This window comes from Homo sapiens, chromosome 3, assembly GCF_000001405.40.
Source record: "Homo sapiens chromosome 3, GRCh38.p14 Primary Assembly".
NCBI lineage: Eukaryota > Metazoa > Chordata > Mammalia > Primates > Hominidae > Homo > Homo sapiens.
In genome coordinates this window covers 19917697-19938342 of record NC_000003.12, presented here as the reverse complement: position 1 = coordinate 19938342, position 20646 = coordinate 19917697, and the positions used below count along the sequence as shown (strand labels likewise).

General features: G+C 41.4%; 1 protein-coding gene across 7 annotated transcripts in view, besides 1 other annotated feature; it reads left to right on the top strand.

Annotated features, from left to right (window-relative positions):
* Positions 1-20646, top strand: part of EFHB (EF-hand domain family member B) — a 67512-nt gene that overhangs the window by 8641 nt on the left and 38225 nt on the right. For 4 of the 7 annotated variants that reach the window (XR_940383.3, XM_005264889.3, NM_144715.4 and 1 more), the window contains exons 1-4: positions 4126-5113; positions 17776-17838; positions 18367-18510; positions 19931-20111. Coding sequence is in view for 6 of the 7 variants with exons in the window: in XM_005264889.3 (XP_005264946.1) it covers positions 4325-5113; positions 17776-17838; positions 18367-18510; positions 19931-20111 (1177 nt within the window). In the remaining variant the exon portion in view is untranslated. Of the gene's footprint in view, positions 1-2008; positions 2203-4125; positions 5114-17775; positions 17839-18366; positions 18511-19930; positions 20112-20646 lie in introns of those variants that run through there. The other 3 variants (NM_001330688.2, XM_011533385.3, XM_011533382.3) reach the window with 3 other exon arrangements.
* Positions 6832-7126: a silencer, noted in NCBI's record as "tiled region #12217; HepG2 Repressive non-DNase unmatched - State 24:Quies, and K562 Repressive DNase matched - State 5:Enh". NCBI's record gives its function as "represses a minimal TATA promoter and a strong SV40 promoter by Sharpr-MPRA in HepG2 and K562 cells {active_cell/tissue: HepG2 | K562}" and the evidence as "EXISTENCE:reporter gene assay evidence [ECO:0000049][PMID:27701403]".

The window sequence follows — 20646 nt, the reverse complement described above, 5'->3', positions numbered from 1 at the left end:
AAATATCCATAAAATGAAGTAAATGCAAGCGTCTTAAGAGTATAATTTCATGTTTTGACAAATGTATATACCTGTGTAATCCACATCCCTATTGAGATACGGAACACTACCGTAATCTCAGAAAGTTGCCACATGTCCTTTCCCAGTCAATCACAGCCCTTTCTCCTTTCAGAGTTGGCCTTGAGTTTGGAATGTGTGAAAATAGACATTCCAGGTGAAGGGAACCTAGGTGGCTCCCTCTCCAGCAAAGGCATGGAGGCAGGTAACTAGGGAAGAACACATAAATGTTAGTAAACAAGTTCGGATGGATGCCCTTCAGTCTTCCACCTCTCTCACTACTAAGCCCCGTCTTTTTGGGTCAAAGCATAAAACATTGAAGTAGAGAGGAGTTGAGTCAAGGGACTGTCAGGCCGCAGGAGCTAACAGTCTTCAGGGGAGGAGGAGACAGAAGCACTGACAGTCACAATTTAGTGTAACAAATGTTGAATGTTATCTTGTACCAGGGTCAGGGCTATAACCAAGGGAAGGGCAGAAAGTTAGGTAAAATACCACAAATATGCCACAAGCGTTTGTTGTATGTGTGTATGTCTGAGAGAGAGAAGTGATAAGGTGAGTGACTCAGACTCTTGGTACTGGAGGAGCTCAAAGGAAAAGAGAGAAGAGTATTTACCAGCCATGAAAAGTTTTCTGGAGGTAAAGTCTTAAGGGATGTTGACTGTTAAGTGTGGTAGACATAAAGATGTTTCAGTTACAGATAACAGAAAATGTGAGTCAAGCAGGGACATTGGCCCATGTGACTGGTAAGTCTAGAGTTATGTGAGTTTTAGGTACAGTTTGATCAGAGCTTTGGTCCTGATGATCTCGGTGCTCTCCTATTTTGTGTGTGTTAGCTTTGTCTTCAGAATACTTCTTCATGGTCACAATATGACTGTCTGTAGCAGTTTAAAAATTGAGCTGCTATAGTAAATTCTTGGGCATTCTCAATACTTGAGTATGGAACATGTGCATGTGGAAGGAAATAACATTGCACTTTATAAACACTGTATTGCAAATGGAAAATGCAATGTCTTAAATAAAACTATTTAAATTTGGCACCATAAAAAAAGAACTAAGGAGAAGAATATTTATATTAACCTTCTAGAAAGTTGTAGAAAATAGTTTTTTGTGTTTTTTTTTGAGACAGTCTTATTCTGTTATCCAGGCTGGAGTGCAGTGGTGCGATCTCGGCTCACTGCAACCTCTGCCTCCCCGGTTCAAGTGATTCTCCTGCCTCAGCCTCCCGAGTAGCTGAGATTACAAGTGAGCATCACAATGCCCAGTTAATTTTTGTATTTTTAGTAGAGATGGGGTTTCGTCATGTTGGCCAGGCTGGTCTCGAACTCAAGTGATCCTCCTGCCTCAGCCTCCCTAGTATATCCTTCTCACTTTTTATTTATTTATTTATTTATTTATTTATTTATTTATTTATTATTTTGAGATGGAGTTTGGCTCTTGTCATCCAGGCTGGAGTGCAATGGCGCAATCTTGGCTCACTGCAACCTCCACCTCCTGGGTTCAAGCGATTCTCCTTCCTCAGCCTCCCTAGTAGCTGGGATTACAAGTGCTGGCCACCATGTCCAGCTCATTTTTGTATTTTTAGTAGAAAGAGGGTTTCACCATGTTGGTCAGGCTGGTCTCGAACTCCTGACCTCAAATGATCCACCCGCCTAGGCCTCCCACAGTGCTGGGATTACAGGTATGAGCCACTGCGCCTGGCCTTATTTTTTATTTTTATTTTTTGAGACAGGATCTCACTGTATCACCCAGGCTAGAGTGTAGTGGCATGATCATATCTCACTACAGCCTTCAATTCCTGGGCTCAAGTGATCCTCCCACCTCAGCCTCCTGAGTAGCTAGGACTATAGGCATGTACCACTACACCTGGCTGATTTTTGAAATTTTTTGTAGGGATAGGTCTCACTGTGTTACCCATGCATGTCTTGAACTCCTGGACTTTTTTTTTTTTCAGTCTGTCGCCCAGGCTGGCATGCAATGGTGCAATGATGGCTCACTGCCGCATAGACCTCCTGGGCTCAAGTGATCCTCCCACTTCAGCCTCTCAGATAGCTGAGACTACAGATGTGAGCCACCACGCTGGGCTAATTGAATTCTTGGCGTTAAGCAATTCTTCTGCCTTGGCTTCCCGAAGTGTTGAGATTACAGGTGAGTGACTATGTCCAGACCCCTACACACTTTTAAAAAAATATTTTTGGATTTTAAGGGGTTTTTGTAGAGTTCTGGAATCCTGTAAATTCTTTTCAAATTCTGTTTTGCTTTTTTTTTTTTTTTTTTTTTGAGATGGAGTCTCACTCTGTCGCCAGGCTGGAGTGCAGTGGTGTGATCTCGGCTTACTGCAACCTCCGCCTCCCAGGTTCAAGCGATTCTTCTACCTCAGCCTCCCAAGTAGCTGGGACTACAGGCGCCTGCCATCAGGCCCAGCTAATTTTTGTATTTTAAGTAGAAACGGGGTTTCACCATGTTGGCCAGGATGGTCTCGAACTCCTGACCTCGTGATCCACCCGCCTCTACCTCCCAAAGTGCCGGGATTACAGGCATGAGCCACTGCGCCCGGCCATTTTTGGTTTTTTATTTTTAAATGGAATCTCACTCTGTTGTTCAGGCTTGAGTGTCGTGGCACCATCAAGGCTCACTGCAACCTCTGCCTCCGGGTTTAAATGATTCTCTTGCCTCAGCCTCCTGAGTAGCTGGGATTACAGGCGCTGGACACCATGCCCAGCTAATTTTTATATTTTTAGTAGAGACAGGGTTTCGCGATGTTGGCCAGGCTGGTCTCAAACTCCTGACCTCAAGTGATCTGCCTGCCTCGGCCTCCCAAAGTGCTGGGATTAAAGGTGTGAGCCACTGTGCCCAGCCTAATTCAGTTCAAATTCCAAGCTAGGGGTTTCATATCCTATATGTGTAGAACATGACAAATATTTACCAAATATACTTTCATTAAAATCTGAAAGGTGAAACCTCAATTTAAAAAAAAATCTCCTACTTAAAAACAATGAAGTTTTAGTTTGCCACATTATCTTTAAAATACAATATGCCTTATTGTGTAGCATATCTCAAACTTTAAAATATTTAGTTTAGGCCAGGAGCAGTGGCTCACGCCTGTAATCCGACACTTTGGAAGGCCGAGGCGGTGGATCACTTGAGGTCAGGTGTTTGAGACCAGCCTGGCCAACATGGTGAAACCCCGTTTCTACTCAAGATACAAAAATTAGCCTAGCATGGTGGCGCATGCCTGTAATCCCAGCTACCCGGAAGGCTGAGGCAGGAGAATCGCTTGGACCCAGGAGGCGGAGTTTGCAGTGAGCCCAGATTGTGCCACTGCACTCCAGCCTGGGCGACAAAGGGAGACTCCATCTCAAAAAAAAAAAAAATTACTTTAAATGTGATTTAAAGCCTAGTTGTTAAAGTGTAAGTGTTCTCAAGGACTTTAAGATGTCTTTATGCCACAGTTGTCAAATATAATATTTCTAGAATTTAAAGTCATTTTTTAGCACTAAAATAACTACATGCAGGGCGGAGGTACTTGGACAAGGAAGGACCTAAAAAAAGTGTTCATCACCAGAAAGTTTATTTGTTCATCATCACCAACATTAAGAGGCCAATGGCCAGGAAGAAGCCAATTGTTGAAACCATTCTAAAACGACTGTGTTGCTTGGGAAACCAGAGAAGTTGGTGAACATTTGATGCGCCGAAAGCCACATCACTCAAATTTTCTCGCCCTCCAAATCTAGCAAAGAAAAAGAGAGAGGAAGCAGGGATAGAGGGGAAGAGGGGGAGGGAGGGGAGAGAGGGAGAAAGGAGAGAGGAAAGGCAAGAGAGAGAGACACACAGAGAGGGAGAGAGAGGGAGAGGGCAAAGGAGAGGAGAGGGAGAGAGAGGAGAGAGAAGGGGGGGCAGAGAGAAACAGAGGAGAGAGAAGAGGGGAGAGAGAGAGACAGAGGAGAGAGAAGAGGGGAGAGAGAGAGAGATTGAGAGAGAGAGAGAGAAGAATGAGAGATGGGCAGGGATCTGTCCAAGCAGGACTTGAGCGCCAAGCCCCGCCCCTGTTTCCCAGGTAACCTGATAAACAGACTCCATCTTTTCCTCTGTGAACTCGGCTAGGTGTTAAGAGGCAGGCAGGAAGCAATGGACAGGGAGTCCGAGTGAGGTTGTGCTCTTTCCTGAGAGAGGGGTTCCGCAAGGGATTGGAGGCGTCTTTGTAGCCAGGTACAGCTTTCCCCTTAGAGATGAGCGCTCTTGGAGAAATGAGAATGGGGAGAAATCGTCCATGAACATGGAGATTGGACATCCCCACGAAGGAAAGGATGATTTAGGAGACAAGAGGGTCATCATGGGAACAAAATTTCCCATGGAGTTGGGGATCAGAGTAGGATTAGGAAAAGAAGATTCCCGATGCGGGGAGAGCCCTGTGGTTAGTAATAAGTGTGAGGGAAGGATGGCACCACCAGAAACAAAATTTCCATTGAGCAAGGGGCTTGAAATGGGATTAGAAAGACAGAATATTTCTAGGACTGTCATGCAGAGGGGTAGTTTAGGAGTCGACAGTGTCTCAGCTTCACAGGGAACAAAACCTTCTCTGTTGCCAGGAAGAATGGGGTTAGAAAATGAGAGTCTTCTTGCAGGATATACCCATGAACGGATAATACAGCCTCCTTTGGGCAGGGTGTGTGGAAGTTCACAGGCTGCAGGGAGCAGGAGAGCTCCTTTGGCTAGTGGCCCTGAAGGGGTAGAGGAATTAGTGGGAAAGCCTGCTTTCGTTATGGAACCAAGACAGGAAATGGAAAAAGAGTCTACCTGTGTTTTAATGAAACCCAACACAGAGATTAAGCTTCCTGTGGAGGTGGACATTGGACTAACCCAAGCCGAGGGGCCAGATGAGACTAAGAATACAGAGCCCCAAATGGGCTTGGTGATAGAACCTCCCCAATGCCAGTTTGCCCAACAACATGAACAGAGAAAGGAGGCTGGAAACATTGAATCAGGAGTGGAACCTCCAGATCGCATCAGACCCATATACTCTGGGAAGTTTTTTGATCGGACCCCTTGCTGGCCAAGTGTAAGTTTTTTTCCACTTTCCATAGGAACTAAACTGTGTATAGCCATGTCTTTATTGAGATGATAAAGTGATAAAATTTGTTTTGGTTTGAAGAGACAAATCACAAGGATTTTATGAGATTCCTATATTTCTTGCCCCACTGGAATCTTTGCAGATGTTACTTAGATTTCTGATTCTCTGCCTCCCTTCCTAGATGTCAGCTTTGTTTTCTCTGCACACCGGTGGTTTGTTCTGATTTCTCTTTTCTCCTTTAACCTTCATTTCATTTTCCTCAAGCCTCTCACATATTGAAATACATGAAGATACATGCTGTGCCCTAATATTCATACTATGAATGGAAAAGAAAAGTGTTTCTTTTTCCATTCATTGTTTAGTCTGTGAGTTATTTGTTCTTTCAGCAAAGACTTGTGGTAGCCATTGTGCCAGGTACAGGACAAACTAAATTGAAAAGTACATGGTCCCTACCTCTAGGTTTAGGCTCACTCCAGTAATGGAGACAGATAACTAAAGGAATAGTATACAGTTATCTAAATTTATAAAAACACACATGATTCTTCCTTCATAGAAGTACACTCTGAATACAGAGCTCAGTGTAAAGATTGCACAATTCTGTTTAGAAGAGATGGGAAAAGCTTAATAGGGAAAGTAATATTTGAGCTAACATCGAAAGGTGTCAGTATTTGTCTGAAGAAAGAATGAGGTTAGAGCATTTTGGGCATAAAAAGGTATAGAGCACAACCAAAGCTTCCTATGTTCGAGAGGCATAAACAGTTGTATTCAGCCAGCAGGGTGTTGAGAGATGAAGATGAAGAAGAAATATGTAGAAGACATCTAAAGGCCCAGAATATAGGGATAAAACATATGGATACAGTATCAATGGTGGATCTTAATAAGGGTAAAAATAAATAAAATTTGCCTTTTAGAAAGATAATTCTGATATCAGTAGTTATGATGGACTGGAAGGGGGAGATACTGAATGACAAGTAGGTAGTTAGAACAACATTCCAAAGTTCTGATGGACTGGAATTAATGTAGAGTTAGAAAGAATAGAAAGGAGACTGCACTTTTGAGAGGTTTTTAGATGACATTTTAAAAAATTGCCACTCAGTTGTGGATCTACGTGGTGAGTAAGGGAAGTTGGTGGATGACTCAGGAGTTTCTGTGTTGATAATGATCTCTTTGGGTTTGGTGGCAAATGAATGTCCAGTGTTGGCTATCTTCAATATGAGATGACAGGTAAAGAAGCCAGGGAAACACTTGGTAATATGAGACAATTGATGCCCCATGGGTGTGAATGGGAGAAGAAAGTCAAGGCAAGAATCTTGGGAAACATTGACATGAGGTGGTCAGTGAAAAAGATGTCAATAAGGTGAGTTCTTGAGGGCAAGGACTATATCTTGTTCATTGTTTACCTTCATGTCATACCACAATACCTGGCTTATGGTGGTCATTCAATAAATACATGTTTGATAAATAGAAGGAAACCCGGATGATTAAATGGGAGAAAGACCAGTCGGAGAAGAAAAAAGTAAGTCTGAGACATTGGTATTGAGAAACATAAGAAAGTGTCCTTAAGTTATAATGTGAGTAAGAGATTCCACACACTGAAATTTGAAAATAAAACTCAGCTGAAGAGGTCACAGGGCTTCCACAGAATTTTGTCTGGGTTTGAAGACTTTTCCCCTTCAGACTCAGAATGTTCTTTTCTTCTTTGTCTCACACTGCTTTCTGGTTTCCTCTTTGGGTTTTCCCAGCCACTTTACTTGACCACACCGGTTCCCATTTCTGGATTGGTTCTGCAATTTACAGCTTCTGATCTGATCTGATCTCACACACATGCAGACACCAGCTTCCAGTTTCCAGCACAGGCAATTCTAAAACCTCTGCTTCCTCCCACTTCGCATACCTTCCTTTCTAAATGTGATAGGACAAGAAAGAGAGTGTCAAGGAGAGAGTGACCAGCAGTGTTAAATCATCTCTGATAGGCCTTGTGCAGTGGCACTAGCTGTAATCCCAGCACTTTGGGAGGCTGAGGCAGGAGGGTTTTTTTGTTTTGTTTTGTTTTTTGAGACAGAGTCTCACTCCATCACCCAGGCTGGAGTGCAGGGGTGCAATCTCAGCTTGCTGCAAACTCGGCCTCCCAGGCTTAAGCGATTCTTGTGCCTCAGCCTCCCAGTAGCTGGAATTCTAGGAGCATGCCACCACACCCGGCTAATTTTTTTTCCTTCTTTTTTTTCTAAATTTAATTTTTGTATTTTTAATAGAGAAGGGGTTTCGCCATGTTGGCCAGGCTGGTCCCCTACTCCTGACCTCAAGTGTTCGGCCCACCTTGGCCTCCCAAAGTGCTGGGATTACAGGCATGAGCCACCACGCCCAGCAGGCAGCAGGATTTCTCGAGGCCAGGAGTTTGTCATCAGCCTGGGCAACATAGCAAGACTCTGCCTATACAAAAAAGAAAAATTAGCCAGGTGTGGTAGTATGTGCCTGTAGTCCTAGCTACTTGGGAGAGGTGCGAAGATCATTTGAGCCTGGGAGTTCAAGGTTCCAGTGAGCTATGATCACACCACTGCATTCCAGTCTGGGTGACAAAATGAGATCCTGTCTCTAAAAATAAAGTAAAAATAAGATTAATTAACTTTGGACATTAAGAAATTACCAACATTGTTAGAACGACATAATAGAAAAAGAATTCAGATTATAATATACTGAAGAGCGAATGGGTTATTAGAATCGGAGAAAGCTATCATGAAATTTTTTTCTCTTAAGAAGTATGACAGTGAAGAGAAAGAGTAAATATTCCACTTAGAAATCTTATTATTTAGTGAATCAGTGGAGGAGTTTGAGATAACACAAAGGAAGAGAATGGGTGGAACCAGATTCTAGATGAGTGGAAGGGAATGGAATTAGGATTATAGGCAAGAGGAGGGATTCTAACTTTGTTAGAAACAAGGCTTCATTTAAAAATAATTTTTAAGATGTTAAAATATTTATTTTGATTATAACACAAGAATAATAACATTATAGAAAATTTAGAAAACAGGGATGAAAATGCCTAGAATCTTATCACCTTAACACAATGCCTATTAGCACTTTACTGTTTCACGATTATTAATATTTATTGGTGGCTTACTATATTAATATGGCTATTCATAGACCTTTGCAGGTATTAATTCGTTTGCCCTTATTGCAACCTGTGAGTCATCTACTATTACTAAATCCTATTTTACAGGTAAAGAAATGGAAGCAAATTTAGGTAATTCGGCTAAAGTCATATAGCTAAAAAGTGGTGGGATTTGAAATCTCAAATTCCTATTTGAGAGCCTGAGTTGTTAGTTACTCTATACTTTTTATGACACTTTTATCCAAATGCACTTTTATGTAGTTGTTATTATCGAGTGCAAAATTTGTTTTGATTTTTCATTTGTTATTTATAAGATTTAACTATTACTACAAAGACTTCAAAAAGATCTTTTAATGATAAAAAATATTTAAGCCAATTCTTTTTTTTTTTTTTTTTTTTTGAGATGGAGTCTCACGCTCTCGCCCAGGCTGGAGTGCAGTGGCACCATCTCGGCTCGCTGCAATCTCCGCCTCCTGGGTTCAAGCAATTCTCCTGCCTCAGCCTCCTGAGTGGCTGGAATTACAGGTGCCTGCCCCCACACCCGGCTAATTTTTTGTATTTTTAGTAGAGATGGACAGGGTTTCATCATATTGGCCAGGCTGGTCTTGAACTCCTGACCTCGTGATACACCCACCTCAGCCTCCCAAAGTGCAGGGATTACAGGCGTGAGCCACCACACCTGGCCAAGCCAATTCTTTAGTTAACTCTTTCCCTCTATTGTTGGGTATTCATTTTTTATTCTTCCAGAATTTTCTATAAAATAGTTTGTCAGCCAGGCATGGTGGCTCATGCCTATAATCCCAGCATTTTGTGAGGCTGAAGTGGGAGGACTGCTTGAGCCCAGGAGTTTGAGATCAACCTGGGCAACATAGTGAGACCTTGTCTCTTAAAAAAAAAAAAAGTTAAAAAAAAAGTCTTTTTATATGTATTGGAATATTTGCTTAAGGATAGAGTTTCAGCAGAAGCCAAAAGCATGGATCTTTTTCTAGTTTCTATTGCCAAATCTCTTCCTAAAAGATTGTAGCAATAAATTTTAAAAATCATAATAATTTGTTAGGCATTATTTTAATTTATGTTTCTTTAACTTATAATTAGATTGAAAATTGCTCCATATGTTTGTTTTTATTTTTTTTTAATCCTTGTGTGTGGTCACCTTGCTGAACTCTTATTAGTCATAATTGCTTATCATTATTTCCTTTTTTAATGACTATTTTGCTTGTGTATGGATATTTTAGGTTGACAATCATATTGACACTTTTGTCCTTTTCTCTTTAGTATCTATACCTTTCATCTATCTCTATTTCCTACCTCACTGCATTGGCTATGATAAGAAAAAAAATACAATATTAAAAACAATGTCTTTTGGACGGGCACGGTGGCTCACCCCTGAAATCCCAGTGCTTTGGGAGGCCAAGGCAGACAGATCACCTGAGGTCAGGAGTTTGAGACCAGCCTGGCCAATATGGCAAAACTCCGTCTCTACTAAAAACTAAAAAATTAGCTGGGTGTGGTGGCAGGCACCTGTAATCCCAGCTACTCTGGAGGCTGAGGCAGGAGAATCACTTGAGCCTGGGTGGCGGAGGTTGCAGTGAGCCAAGATCGCACCACTGTCCTGGGCGACAGAGCGAGACTCCGCCTCAAACAAACAAACAAAACAACAACAAGGTCTCTTTTCTGATTTTGATGGGAATGATTATAATGTTTCACTATTACATGTGATTTTGTGGGAGATTTCTGATATTTAAAGTTAAGAACACTTGTATCCATTTCCAGTTTGCTAAGAAAGTTTAAAAATCAGGACTAAACAATCTGTGAAAAGCTTTTCCCACATTTATTGAAATATATATTTTTTCTGAATTAAAATAGTTCATTTTCTAAGGGTAAACCATCTTCATATTTTTGGCCTAAGCCCTCCTTGTGATATATTATGTTCATAATATATCCCTGGATTTGACTTGCCAGTGTTTCACTAGGATTTTTGTATTTGTGGTTCTCTGTAAATTTAGACAGTAGTTTTTCTTTTTGTGCTTGGTATTAGGGTAACGCTAGTATATAAAAAGAATTGAGAAGCTTCCCAGCTTTCCAACTGTCTTTATGCTTTCTTTATATGTTATGTATAGTATTAGCTACTATATTATTTACTATATATATAGTATATACTATATATATACTATAGTATTTGTTTATATATACTACAGTATTTATAGTATTATTTACTTCTTGTAAGCTTGGTTAAACTCAAACAGCTGAAAAAGGAAGAGAAGGCAATCCCTAACATCCTGACCAGGGGATGGGATGGTAAAGTATTTGATGCCCCTGAGTCTCAGAGTAGGAAGGAAGTGCATTTGGGTGAGGTTGAAACCCAGTGTCAAGCATGGCTGTGAGGAGAGTTTAGATGAAAATCCCCATTGTGAATAACCTGCAAGATCAATGCTTGAGGATAATCACTTTGCATCAGGGTGCATTCAGGGAACTGGAAGAACTTACTTTAATGAGAGATCTTTCCAGTTTTGAGCGAGGAAGAGCAGATACACCTTATTTCAGGAATACTCATCCTATGGTTTGAAGTTGCTGCCCAAAGTTGGTGTTTAGTTGCGGGTGAAGGTTTGCTCTGTTGGATTTATGAGACCCATCAGGCAAGTTCTTCTAGTAAAACAGTCATGGATGTGGAACCAGTGCAGGAAGGAAAAGTTTCCAAGAAATACTGGCCTAAGGAGAGATTTCTGGTGTGTTCTTAAACAATCAAAAAGATTCTTGTGAAAGGAGGTCCTCTGTGTGGAGGCCTGGTAGCCCTTGAAAGGGCACTTGACTTTTGAAAAACACTGTCAGAGATCAAAATCTCTACAATGGTTATTTTCTAAGCTATCCCGAGACTGTCCCTTGATTTCCATCAATGCACTGACTAAGGCAGAAACCTGGAGTTATTAAGACAAAACATCTGAAGCATACAAAGTGCATTGGTAAATGATATTGAGCCCTGGAATAGAAAGACGAAGAAGGAAGGAAAGCTTCAAGGGGAAGTTTACAAAAATTATAGTGTCCATGATAACATAGGGCTATGGGAGGTTGAGGCTGCAATGAACTCTGATGGTATCACTTCACTCCAGCCTGGTTGACAGAGTGAGATCCTATTTAAAAAACAAAAACAAGTCCGGGCGGGGTGGCTCATGCCTGTAATCCCAGCACTTTGGGAGGCCGAGGCGGGTGGATCACCTGAGGTTGGGAGTTCGAGACCAGCCTGACCAACATAGAGAAACCCCGTCTCTACTAAAAATACAAAATTAGCCGGGTGTGGTGACAGGCGCCTGTAATCCCAGCTACTCAGGAGGCTGAGGTGGGTGAATCACTTGAGCCCGGGAGGCGGAGGTTGCTGTGAGCTGAGATCATGCCATTGCACTCCAGCCTGGGCAAAAGAGTGAAACTGTCTCAAAAATAAAAATAAAAAAGCAGGCTGGGCGTGGTGGCTCAAGCCTGTAATCCCAGCACTTTGGGAGGCCGAGACGGGATCACGAAGTCAGGAGATCGAGACCATCCCGGCTAACACAGTGAAGCCCCGTCTCTACTAAAAATACAAAAAATTAGCCAGGTGTGGTGGCAGGCGCCTGTAGTCCCAGCTACTCGGGAGGCTGAGGCAGGAGAATGGCGTGAACCTGGGAGGTGGAGCTTGCAGTGAGCCGAGATTGCGCCACTGCACTCCAGCCTCGGCGACAGAGCGAGACTCCGTCTCAAAATAAATAAATAAATTTTAAAAACCCCAAAAAACAAAAAAAACCCCAAAAAAACCAAAAAACCCATACACAAATAAACGCTGGGGCCACATAGATGAAAAATTACATACTACCTGCATTCAAGGAACTTAGAGACTGGAGACCAATAGACAAATGACTTTATGATATGACAAATGTCATGCAAAGGGGTGCCTTGCTTTTTCCTGTTCTATACTAGTAGAACCTGACAGCTATTTTGGGAATAGGTGGAGGGAAAGGTGCCACCTGTTAATAAATCTTGTGGGACCTTCCTAGTTATGCAGGCCCTGGTATTGGAGAAAATACCAGGTAAAAAGATTTATTTTGTATGAATTTCCAAAGCTAATCTCTGCAGAATTCTGGGAATTGGATGTTTTTATTTGCATAATGGATTCAGTGTCTTCTGGGCAGAAAGGGAATGGGTACCATCACTCCTAATGCTCTCTGAGATGTTTAGAATTGGGGATCTCTCTGAGTAAAACAGAGGGATCTTGACCAAGGGCAAGTGGGAGAGCTGTAACCATTAAGCTAACCCACATTGAGTTTGAAGAGTGGAAGGTGGTGTGATGATTATGGGTCTGTGGGTCTTGAGCAGCTGAAAATGGTCTTATATCAACCTTCCTGAGTTGACTTGAATCTTGGGACTCACTTGTATGATAAATGAAAGAGGTACTTGGCCATTAAAGCCTGTAACACTGGGGGTTGAGTGAGGAGGTGGCCAAGCAAGGTGTCTCCGGTGTTGTTAGGGACCGAGCAAAGAGGCAGCTGAGCAAGGAGATGGTTGGTGCAGTTTGGAGTTGGGTTACAGACAGAAAGCCTAAGCAGATAAGTAAATATATTTAGGACAATAATGCCAGGGTTATTTAGGACAATAACCCTTTTCTCACTGACAGAGAAAAGTGTTATAAATATGGAAAGGAGAATAGAATGAATCCTGTTGTGTTGGATTGTGATTAGAGGTATTCATATACATTTATGATATATCTATATATCTATGACCATGGATTCTAACTACACACATTTAACTAGACAGAATATTATAGGATCAATATACATGCAAGTGTGCGGGGGTGTTTGTCTATTCATACATTTCCTAACTCTATTTTTTTTTTTTTTTTTTTGAGAAGGAGTCTAGCTCTGTCGCCCAGGCTGGAGTGCAGTGGCCGGATCTCGGCTCACTGCAAGCTCCGTCTCCCTGGTTCACGCCATTCTCCTGCCTCAGCCTCCCGGGTAGCTGGGATTACAGGTGCCGGCCAGCATGCCCGGCTAATTTTTTGTATTTTTAGTAGAGATGTTTCACCGTTTAAGCCAGGATGGTCTTGATCTCCTGACCTCGTGATCCGCCCACCTCGGCTTCCCAAAGTGCTGGGATTACAGGTGTGAGCCACTGCGCCCGGCCATCCTAACTCTATTTAAGAGAGCTTAGAAGCGGTATTTCTCTAGTAGCAAAGAGCACACCAAAATCCAGATCTTTATTTCTTTTTTTTTATTATTATACTTTAAGTTTTAGGGTATATGTTCACAATGTGCAGGTTAGTTACATATGTATACATGTGCCATGTACTATTCTCTTTGAAAAGAAATTAAGCTCCTTGGAGAAATGGCTGACTCTAGGACTTGCACAGGCAAGTACAATATGAACATGGAACATCCTCATGAGCAAAAAAATGAGAAGAATCCTAAAGAATCATGCAGATATAAAACAAACTTGAAGAAACAAGGTTGATGAGTCTTCCCCTAGACCAAACTGGTGTACATTGAGTATTGAATAAAATTACCATTGAATAAAATAGAAATCCACGAGTACATAGGGATGTAAATACATAAATGTGTGAATAAATAGTGAGAAAAGGCCTGGCGCAGTGGCTCATGCCTGTAATCCCAGCACTTTGGGAGGCTGAGGAGGGAGGATCACGAGGTCAGGAGTTTGAGACCAGCCTGGCCGACATAGGGAAACCCCGTCTCTACTGAAAATACAAAAATTAGCCGGGCGTGGTGGCATGTGCCTGTATTCCCAGCTACTCGGGAGGCTGAGGCAGGAGAATCACTTGAACCTGGGAGGCGGAGGTTATAGTGAGTCAAGATCACACAACTGCACTCCAGCCTGGGCAACAGAGGACGACTCTGTCTCAAAAAAAAAAAAAAAGAGAGAGAGAGAGAAAAGAAAACTTCCTTGCAGTATAATGCAATTAATAAATATAGAAAGAATGCTAAAATTAGAAAGTCCTCATTTGGCAACCATCATAGGAATAATGATTTAGGAAAGAATCATCACTAGTTATTATTATTTTTTTAAAGAGATAAGGGTCTCACTTTGTTGCCCAGGCTGGTCTTGAACCCTGGGCTCCAGCAGTCCTCCTGCCTCAGCCTCCCAAAGTGCTGGGATGATAGGCATGGGCCACCATGCCCAGCTCATCAGTACATATTAAAACAATAGGTGAAAAGTAGAAATTTTATTTAGATTATCATATTTAAATTCTAAAGAGTTATTTCTTCTCAGGTTGTCTTTTAGAATTTCTAATATAGTTTTATAAATGCAATAAATGCAACATCTTATATCTCTCAGGTAATCTCTTTTGTTTATTTACATTTTCCTATTCCCTCTATGTTTGTGTATGTTTTTTATTAGCTTGTTTTGCCCCTCCCTTTCAAACTGGAGTCTAATAATTCATATTAAAACATTAGGCAGGCTGGGCGTGGTGGCTCATGCCTGTAATCCCACCCCTTTGGGAGGCCAAGGCAGGCAGATCACTTGAGCTCAGAAGTTCAAGACCAGCCTGTGCAACATGTCAAAAACTCGTCTCTACAAAAAAAATACAAAAATTAGCTAGGCATGGTGGCCCACACTTGTAGTCCCAGTCACTAGGGAGGCTGAGGTGGGAGGATGGTAGAGGTTGCAGTGAGCTGAGGTTGAAAGGCAGAGGTTGCAGTGAGCTGACATCTGCACCACTGCAGTCTGACCTAGAAGACGGAATCAGACCCTGTCTCAAAAACAAAACAAAACAAATGAAACATTAGGTACTACAAAGAAAATTATTAGCTGTGTGTGTGTTGCATGGCTTGTTTACCTTGGGGCTTTTTTTTTTTTTCCTTTTGAGACAGAGTTTCACTCTTTTTGCCCAGGCTGGAGTGCAGTGGCGCAATCTCGGCTCACTGCAACCTCCGCCTCCTGGGTTCCAGTGATTCTCCTGCCTGGGCCTCCCAAGTAGCTGGGACTACAGGCATGCGCCACCATGCCTGGCTAATTTTTATATTTTTTTGTAGCAACGGGGTTTCATCATGTTGGTCAGACTGGTCTTGAACTCCTGACCTTGTGATCCGCCCGCCTTTGCCTCCCAAAGTGCTGGGGGTTACAGGTGTGAGCCACTGCATCTGGCTGGGGCATTGTTATAGGGTGATGAAGAGATGAGGCAGCCTTTATTTTGGGAGAGTCCCGAATATTAATTTTTTTCTTCTAGGTTATTCAGATTTTCCAGAGAATAGTAATGTAATAATAGTTGAAACTTATATAGCACATAGCATGTGTGGACACTGTTCTAAGCGTTTTATATGTATTAACTCATTTAATTCTCAACGATCTCTATGAGGTTGGTACTGTTATCACCATCTCCATTGTGAGCAAATTGAGGCTGAGTAACAGGGTGACACAGCTTATTTATTGGCAGATATTTGAACCCAAGAAAGCTGGCTTCCAAATCTCTATTTATATTCATGATGCGCTACTGCCTTTCCTATACACTGCCCACTGGCTAGAGGGCTGGCTTAACTCCTGGCTGCTGGCTTTCCAGGGCCCAGTGGGAGAGGAAGCTAGAGGAAATGCATTACAGAAAGTATACTTTTACTTATTAATGCTCCTATTAATGCCCCGCTACCTTACCTTGGGTTTGATGTTTCTGGCTACAAAACCCCTTTGCAAAAACACATCCACAGTTTGGCAAGAGGGGTTGAGAGTTTGTGTGAAGACAAGGATAACATAGGATGAAGAAGAACTGGGGATACAATTGCCCTGAATACACACTTTCAACCAATCTTTCTATTTTCATATCCAAGCTTTACCACACCTTCTTCCAAGTGTTGAACTCTTCCTGTATCTGCTGATTCTTAACTGCCTTCAGCTCAGAATAATCCATATGCAAAAGTGGCATATTTTTGGACAGCATATTCTGATTCCCTTCATAATTTTATTTTTCTTTTTTTGAGATGGAGTTTTGCTCTTGTTGCCCAGGCTGGAGTGCAATGGCATGGCCTCGGCTCACTGCAACCTCTGCCTCCTGGGTTCAAGCAATTCTCCTGCCTCAGCTTCCCGAGTAGCTGGGATTACAGGCACGCACCACCATGCCTGCCTAATTTTTGTATTTTTAGAAGGGACGGGGTTTCACCATGTTGGCCAGGCTGGTCTTGAACTCCTGACCTCAAATGGTCCACCTACCTTGACCTCCCAAAGTGCTGGGATTACAGGTGTGAGCCACCTTGCCTGGCAGCCTTCGTATTTTTAAAAATGACTTGAGTTCGTATCCTAAGTATAGAGAGAGACAATATTCCCTGGTATTAGTGAGATTTCTTATAACTTACAACTGAATTAAAAAAAATCTCACTATATCTCTTCTCCATCTTCTCAGTCTTGCTTTTGCCCAGGTTAGAACACAGAACACAGCTCCTTTCTTTTTTTACACAAAGTTCTTCTCACACAATGTAATTGTGTGGGTAGAATTTACTGAAGATACAGCATTAAGACTGGGCTGCTTCTTACTGTCTTATTTCCCATCTTGGCCCCCCCAGCCTCTCACCCTGTTGCTAGACCTTGGACTCCACACACTTTCTCAATTTATTTGTCATCTCCTTGATTTTTCCTTCTTCATGTATCTAATCAGAAGTTGTTTTGCCCCTCCCTTTCAAACTGGAGTCTAATAATTCATATTAAAACATTAGACACTACAAAGATCATATTTTCTCCCATTTTTTTTTTAACAAAGCAATTCAGTTTTCTGCCTGGCTATGTCTGTGGGCTTCCTCTTTTATACCTAGAGATGTCAGCAAGACAGTCTCTTAAACCCTAAAGACTCTCTCACTAAAAGGAATTCCACACTCAACACTTAACATAATAATAAACTTTCACCTACCCGTATGTATTCATTCATATGTTCACCCACATCTACTCATTCATCCATCCACTCCACTCCATTCTCAATTTCTCTGCTTTTGTCTGTTTGTTCTCTTTCTTTCTCTGTCGCTCTCTACTCTTTCCAGAGACCCAGAACACTATGGGAAGTTAGTTTCTTTCTCTCAGTTTTAAATTTTATTTATTTATTTATTTTCGGAGGCAAGGTCTTGCTCCATTGCCCAGGATGGAGTACAGTGATGTGATCACAGCTCACTGTAGCCTCGAACTCCTGGCCATGAGAAACCCTCCCTTCTTGGCCTCCCAAAGATCATACTTCTATTTCACTGTTATATAGAACAATGAATAATTAACCTGTGATCTATGAGAAGATTGTTCTGAAGGTTGAATTCCTCAACATGTCACAGAATTCCTGTAACTGGATGAATCACTAACAATGTTAGTGCTGTAAAAATATATGCTTACAATTTTATAAATGTTTATAATATATACATAGCATTTAATGTTTGTTACGTATGAAGATTGCTTTACATTTACTATTTGTTCTTCCTTTTTTATGTTAGTCAAAAGTAACTTTGTAGCCTCAGAGGCATAGGACAAGTTTGAAATAAATTTCATTCTTCAAAATGCTCCTCTTCCACCCTGGCAATGATCAACCCATTTTTTTCCCCCAAAGGCAGGAAAAGTTATTCCAGTTGGTTACAGAGTTGCAACCTGCTTGACTGAAAAACTTCCCAGGGTGAGCACTTTCAATATACCTTTATATTTCTATTTTTACCTTCTATGTGAACATTAAGGAATAGGCAACTCAACGTTCCTTATGAAAGTGGTATAAACTTAATGTGGTCAATTTGGATTCTTTGCTGTATTTTGAGGCCTTCTATTGATTTTGTCCAAGAAAGTGAAAATCCCAGGCTTACAATTTCTAGCTCTACAGGGATTCAATTACAGGGGATTCAATTTATTTCAGTGGGAATAACGGTATGCTTTGTAACCTGGATACTTCCTGGTTGTTTTCTAAATACAACATTTAAAATATGTTGTTTAGGACACATGTTCTCAGGATCTGTGTCATGGAAAAAAATGTTTTTTACTTTCATTAATAAATAAATACATTTTAGGGGGATGTTCATTATTTGGGGCTGTAGTTCCAAATGCATTTACTACATACATGCACTTAAGGTTGTTGGTTGATTGGTATAGATCAGTCCTGTTAATATTTTTAGAAACTGTACTTAATACTATTTTCTTGCCTCACTCTTTGTAGCTAATTACTCCACCTGAAGCAAAAAAGTATTTCAACTTCAGATATCCACCTGCTGGAGTAGAAAGAGTATTTTACGGAAGAGCAAATGATCCCCAGATTGCACCTTATTTGACACATGGAATTAGATCTAAAATTTCAGTACTGGTAAGTTATTTTCTTTTTTTCCTTGTACATTATTAATTTACCAAGGTGAAAATGCACAAATCAGGTATTAGTGAAATTCATCAGTTCCAATCTCCTTCCCACCCATATTTTTACTAGGCTTTTCTCAATCTGTCTTCCAAAAGCATTTATCTTGAGCAGTAAAAAAAAGCCAAGCAGCAGCAGCCAAGACAGTGTGAAGAAATTAATAGTTTAAGCCACAAACTATCTATTGTTCTCTCAAATGATAAAAGCCTAGTTGCATTCCATTTTCTCACAATAAAGAGAAATACTGTCAGGTTGTGTTAGACAATAAAGAGGACTGTTTTGGCAGGGCATGGTGGCTCATGCCTGTAATCCCAGCACTTTGGGAGGCTGAGGCAGGGGGATCCGCTAAGATCAGGAGTTTGAGACCAGCCTGGCCAACATGGCGAAATCCTGTCTCTACTAAAAGTAAAAAAAAAAAAAAAAGCAGCTGGGGCATGGTAGCAGGCGCCTGTAATCCCAGCTACTCGGGAGGCTGAGGCAGGAGAATCACTTGAACCCGGGAGGTGAAGATTGCAGTGAGCTGAGATCATGCCACTGCAATCCAGCCTGGGCAACAGACCGAAACTCCATCTCAAAAACAAACAAACAAACAAAAAAAGACTGTCTTGGTGACTTGCCTAGAGGCACTATAGAATACTTATATGGACATTGAGTAGAGGTGGAGTCAAAATGTTGGTTATCTGCTATTGATTGAATGCACAGTCTAGATTCAGAAGACCTGATCTCTATATCTGAAGAGAACTTTTGGAAGTCAAGTGGTTCTTGTGCTTTTCATTTTCACTTTTCTTCTTTTTTTTTTTTTTTTTTTGAGACTGAGTCTCACTCTGTCGCCCAGGCTGGAGTGCAGTGGTGTGGTCTTGGCTCACTATAACCTCCACTTACCGGGCTCAAGCCATTCTCCTGCCTCAGACTCCTGAGTAGCTGGGACTACAGGCGTGTGCCAGCACACCCGGCTAATTTTTTTTTTTTTTTTTTAGTAGTTATGGGGTTTCACCATGTTGGCCAGGCTGGTCTCAAACTCCAGACCTCAGGTGATCTGCCCGCCTCAGCCTCCCAAAGTGCTGTGATTACAGGCGTCAGCCACTACACCTGGCACCACTTTTCTTAAATATTTGAGTCAAGTAACCTGGAAGCTATCATTGTAAACCTTTTAGTATCACTGAAACCTTTTAACTCATTAGAAAGTTCTTGTAGGCGTGTTTAAACTTCATAGCCAATTCTGACAGTTCATTTGAAGGTGAGCAAAGCCAATAATGATAATGAAATGTTTTCCCACAATCGTACAGTCTCCTCTCCCCAGCTATTGATTAGGGTTTCTATTTTCAGATTTATACTTTTTTTGTTGATATATTTGTGCATTGTATGATTTCTTTAGGCAAACACATTGATAAACCCACAGCCTATTACCACATTTCAACAGAAAATTAAAGATAAAAAAGAATCTATATATCTTAGCAATCGACGAGCACCATTAGGAAAATCTCACGATCAAGCACCAGGATTACCAAAAGGCATGGACACAACCAATACGACATTTGGGACAGCAGTCATCAAAGGTAGTAAAAAAAAAAATAAGGGGTGGGAAGGGGCTGGTAAAATAAGTCTCTTTGGAAAATTTGATTAAATATCTTATTTGTATGATGTTTGGTGATGGTGTAAACGATGACTCAAGAAGGAAAGATGGGATTGTTGCAAGAAAGTTACTCTCAGAACCAAAATCCTTGACGTGTATGTATGCAGAGGCAGGAAAAATTCAGGTATTGGAGTCCAGATATAGTGAGCATAGTAGGCATGGTGTAAAGACAGGAAAGAACTCAACAAAAATTGGCTCTGGGGCTAGCTAGAGAACTACAATCCCTTTGCCTTGGACATCCATTTGTGTGTTTCATTTCCATCAGTGCTTCACATGTGTTCATGACTCCGAACTCTTTATGCAACAGAGTTCATGGCACAGATAAGTATGGTAAATGCTGTATACTGCACTCCATTCATGCAGATCCGTGAGGTCTACCTGCGTACTAACCAAATACAGAGCAGAGTGCATAGTTGACTTCCACTCTGATTTTGAGAGGGAGTAGAGTACCATCATTC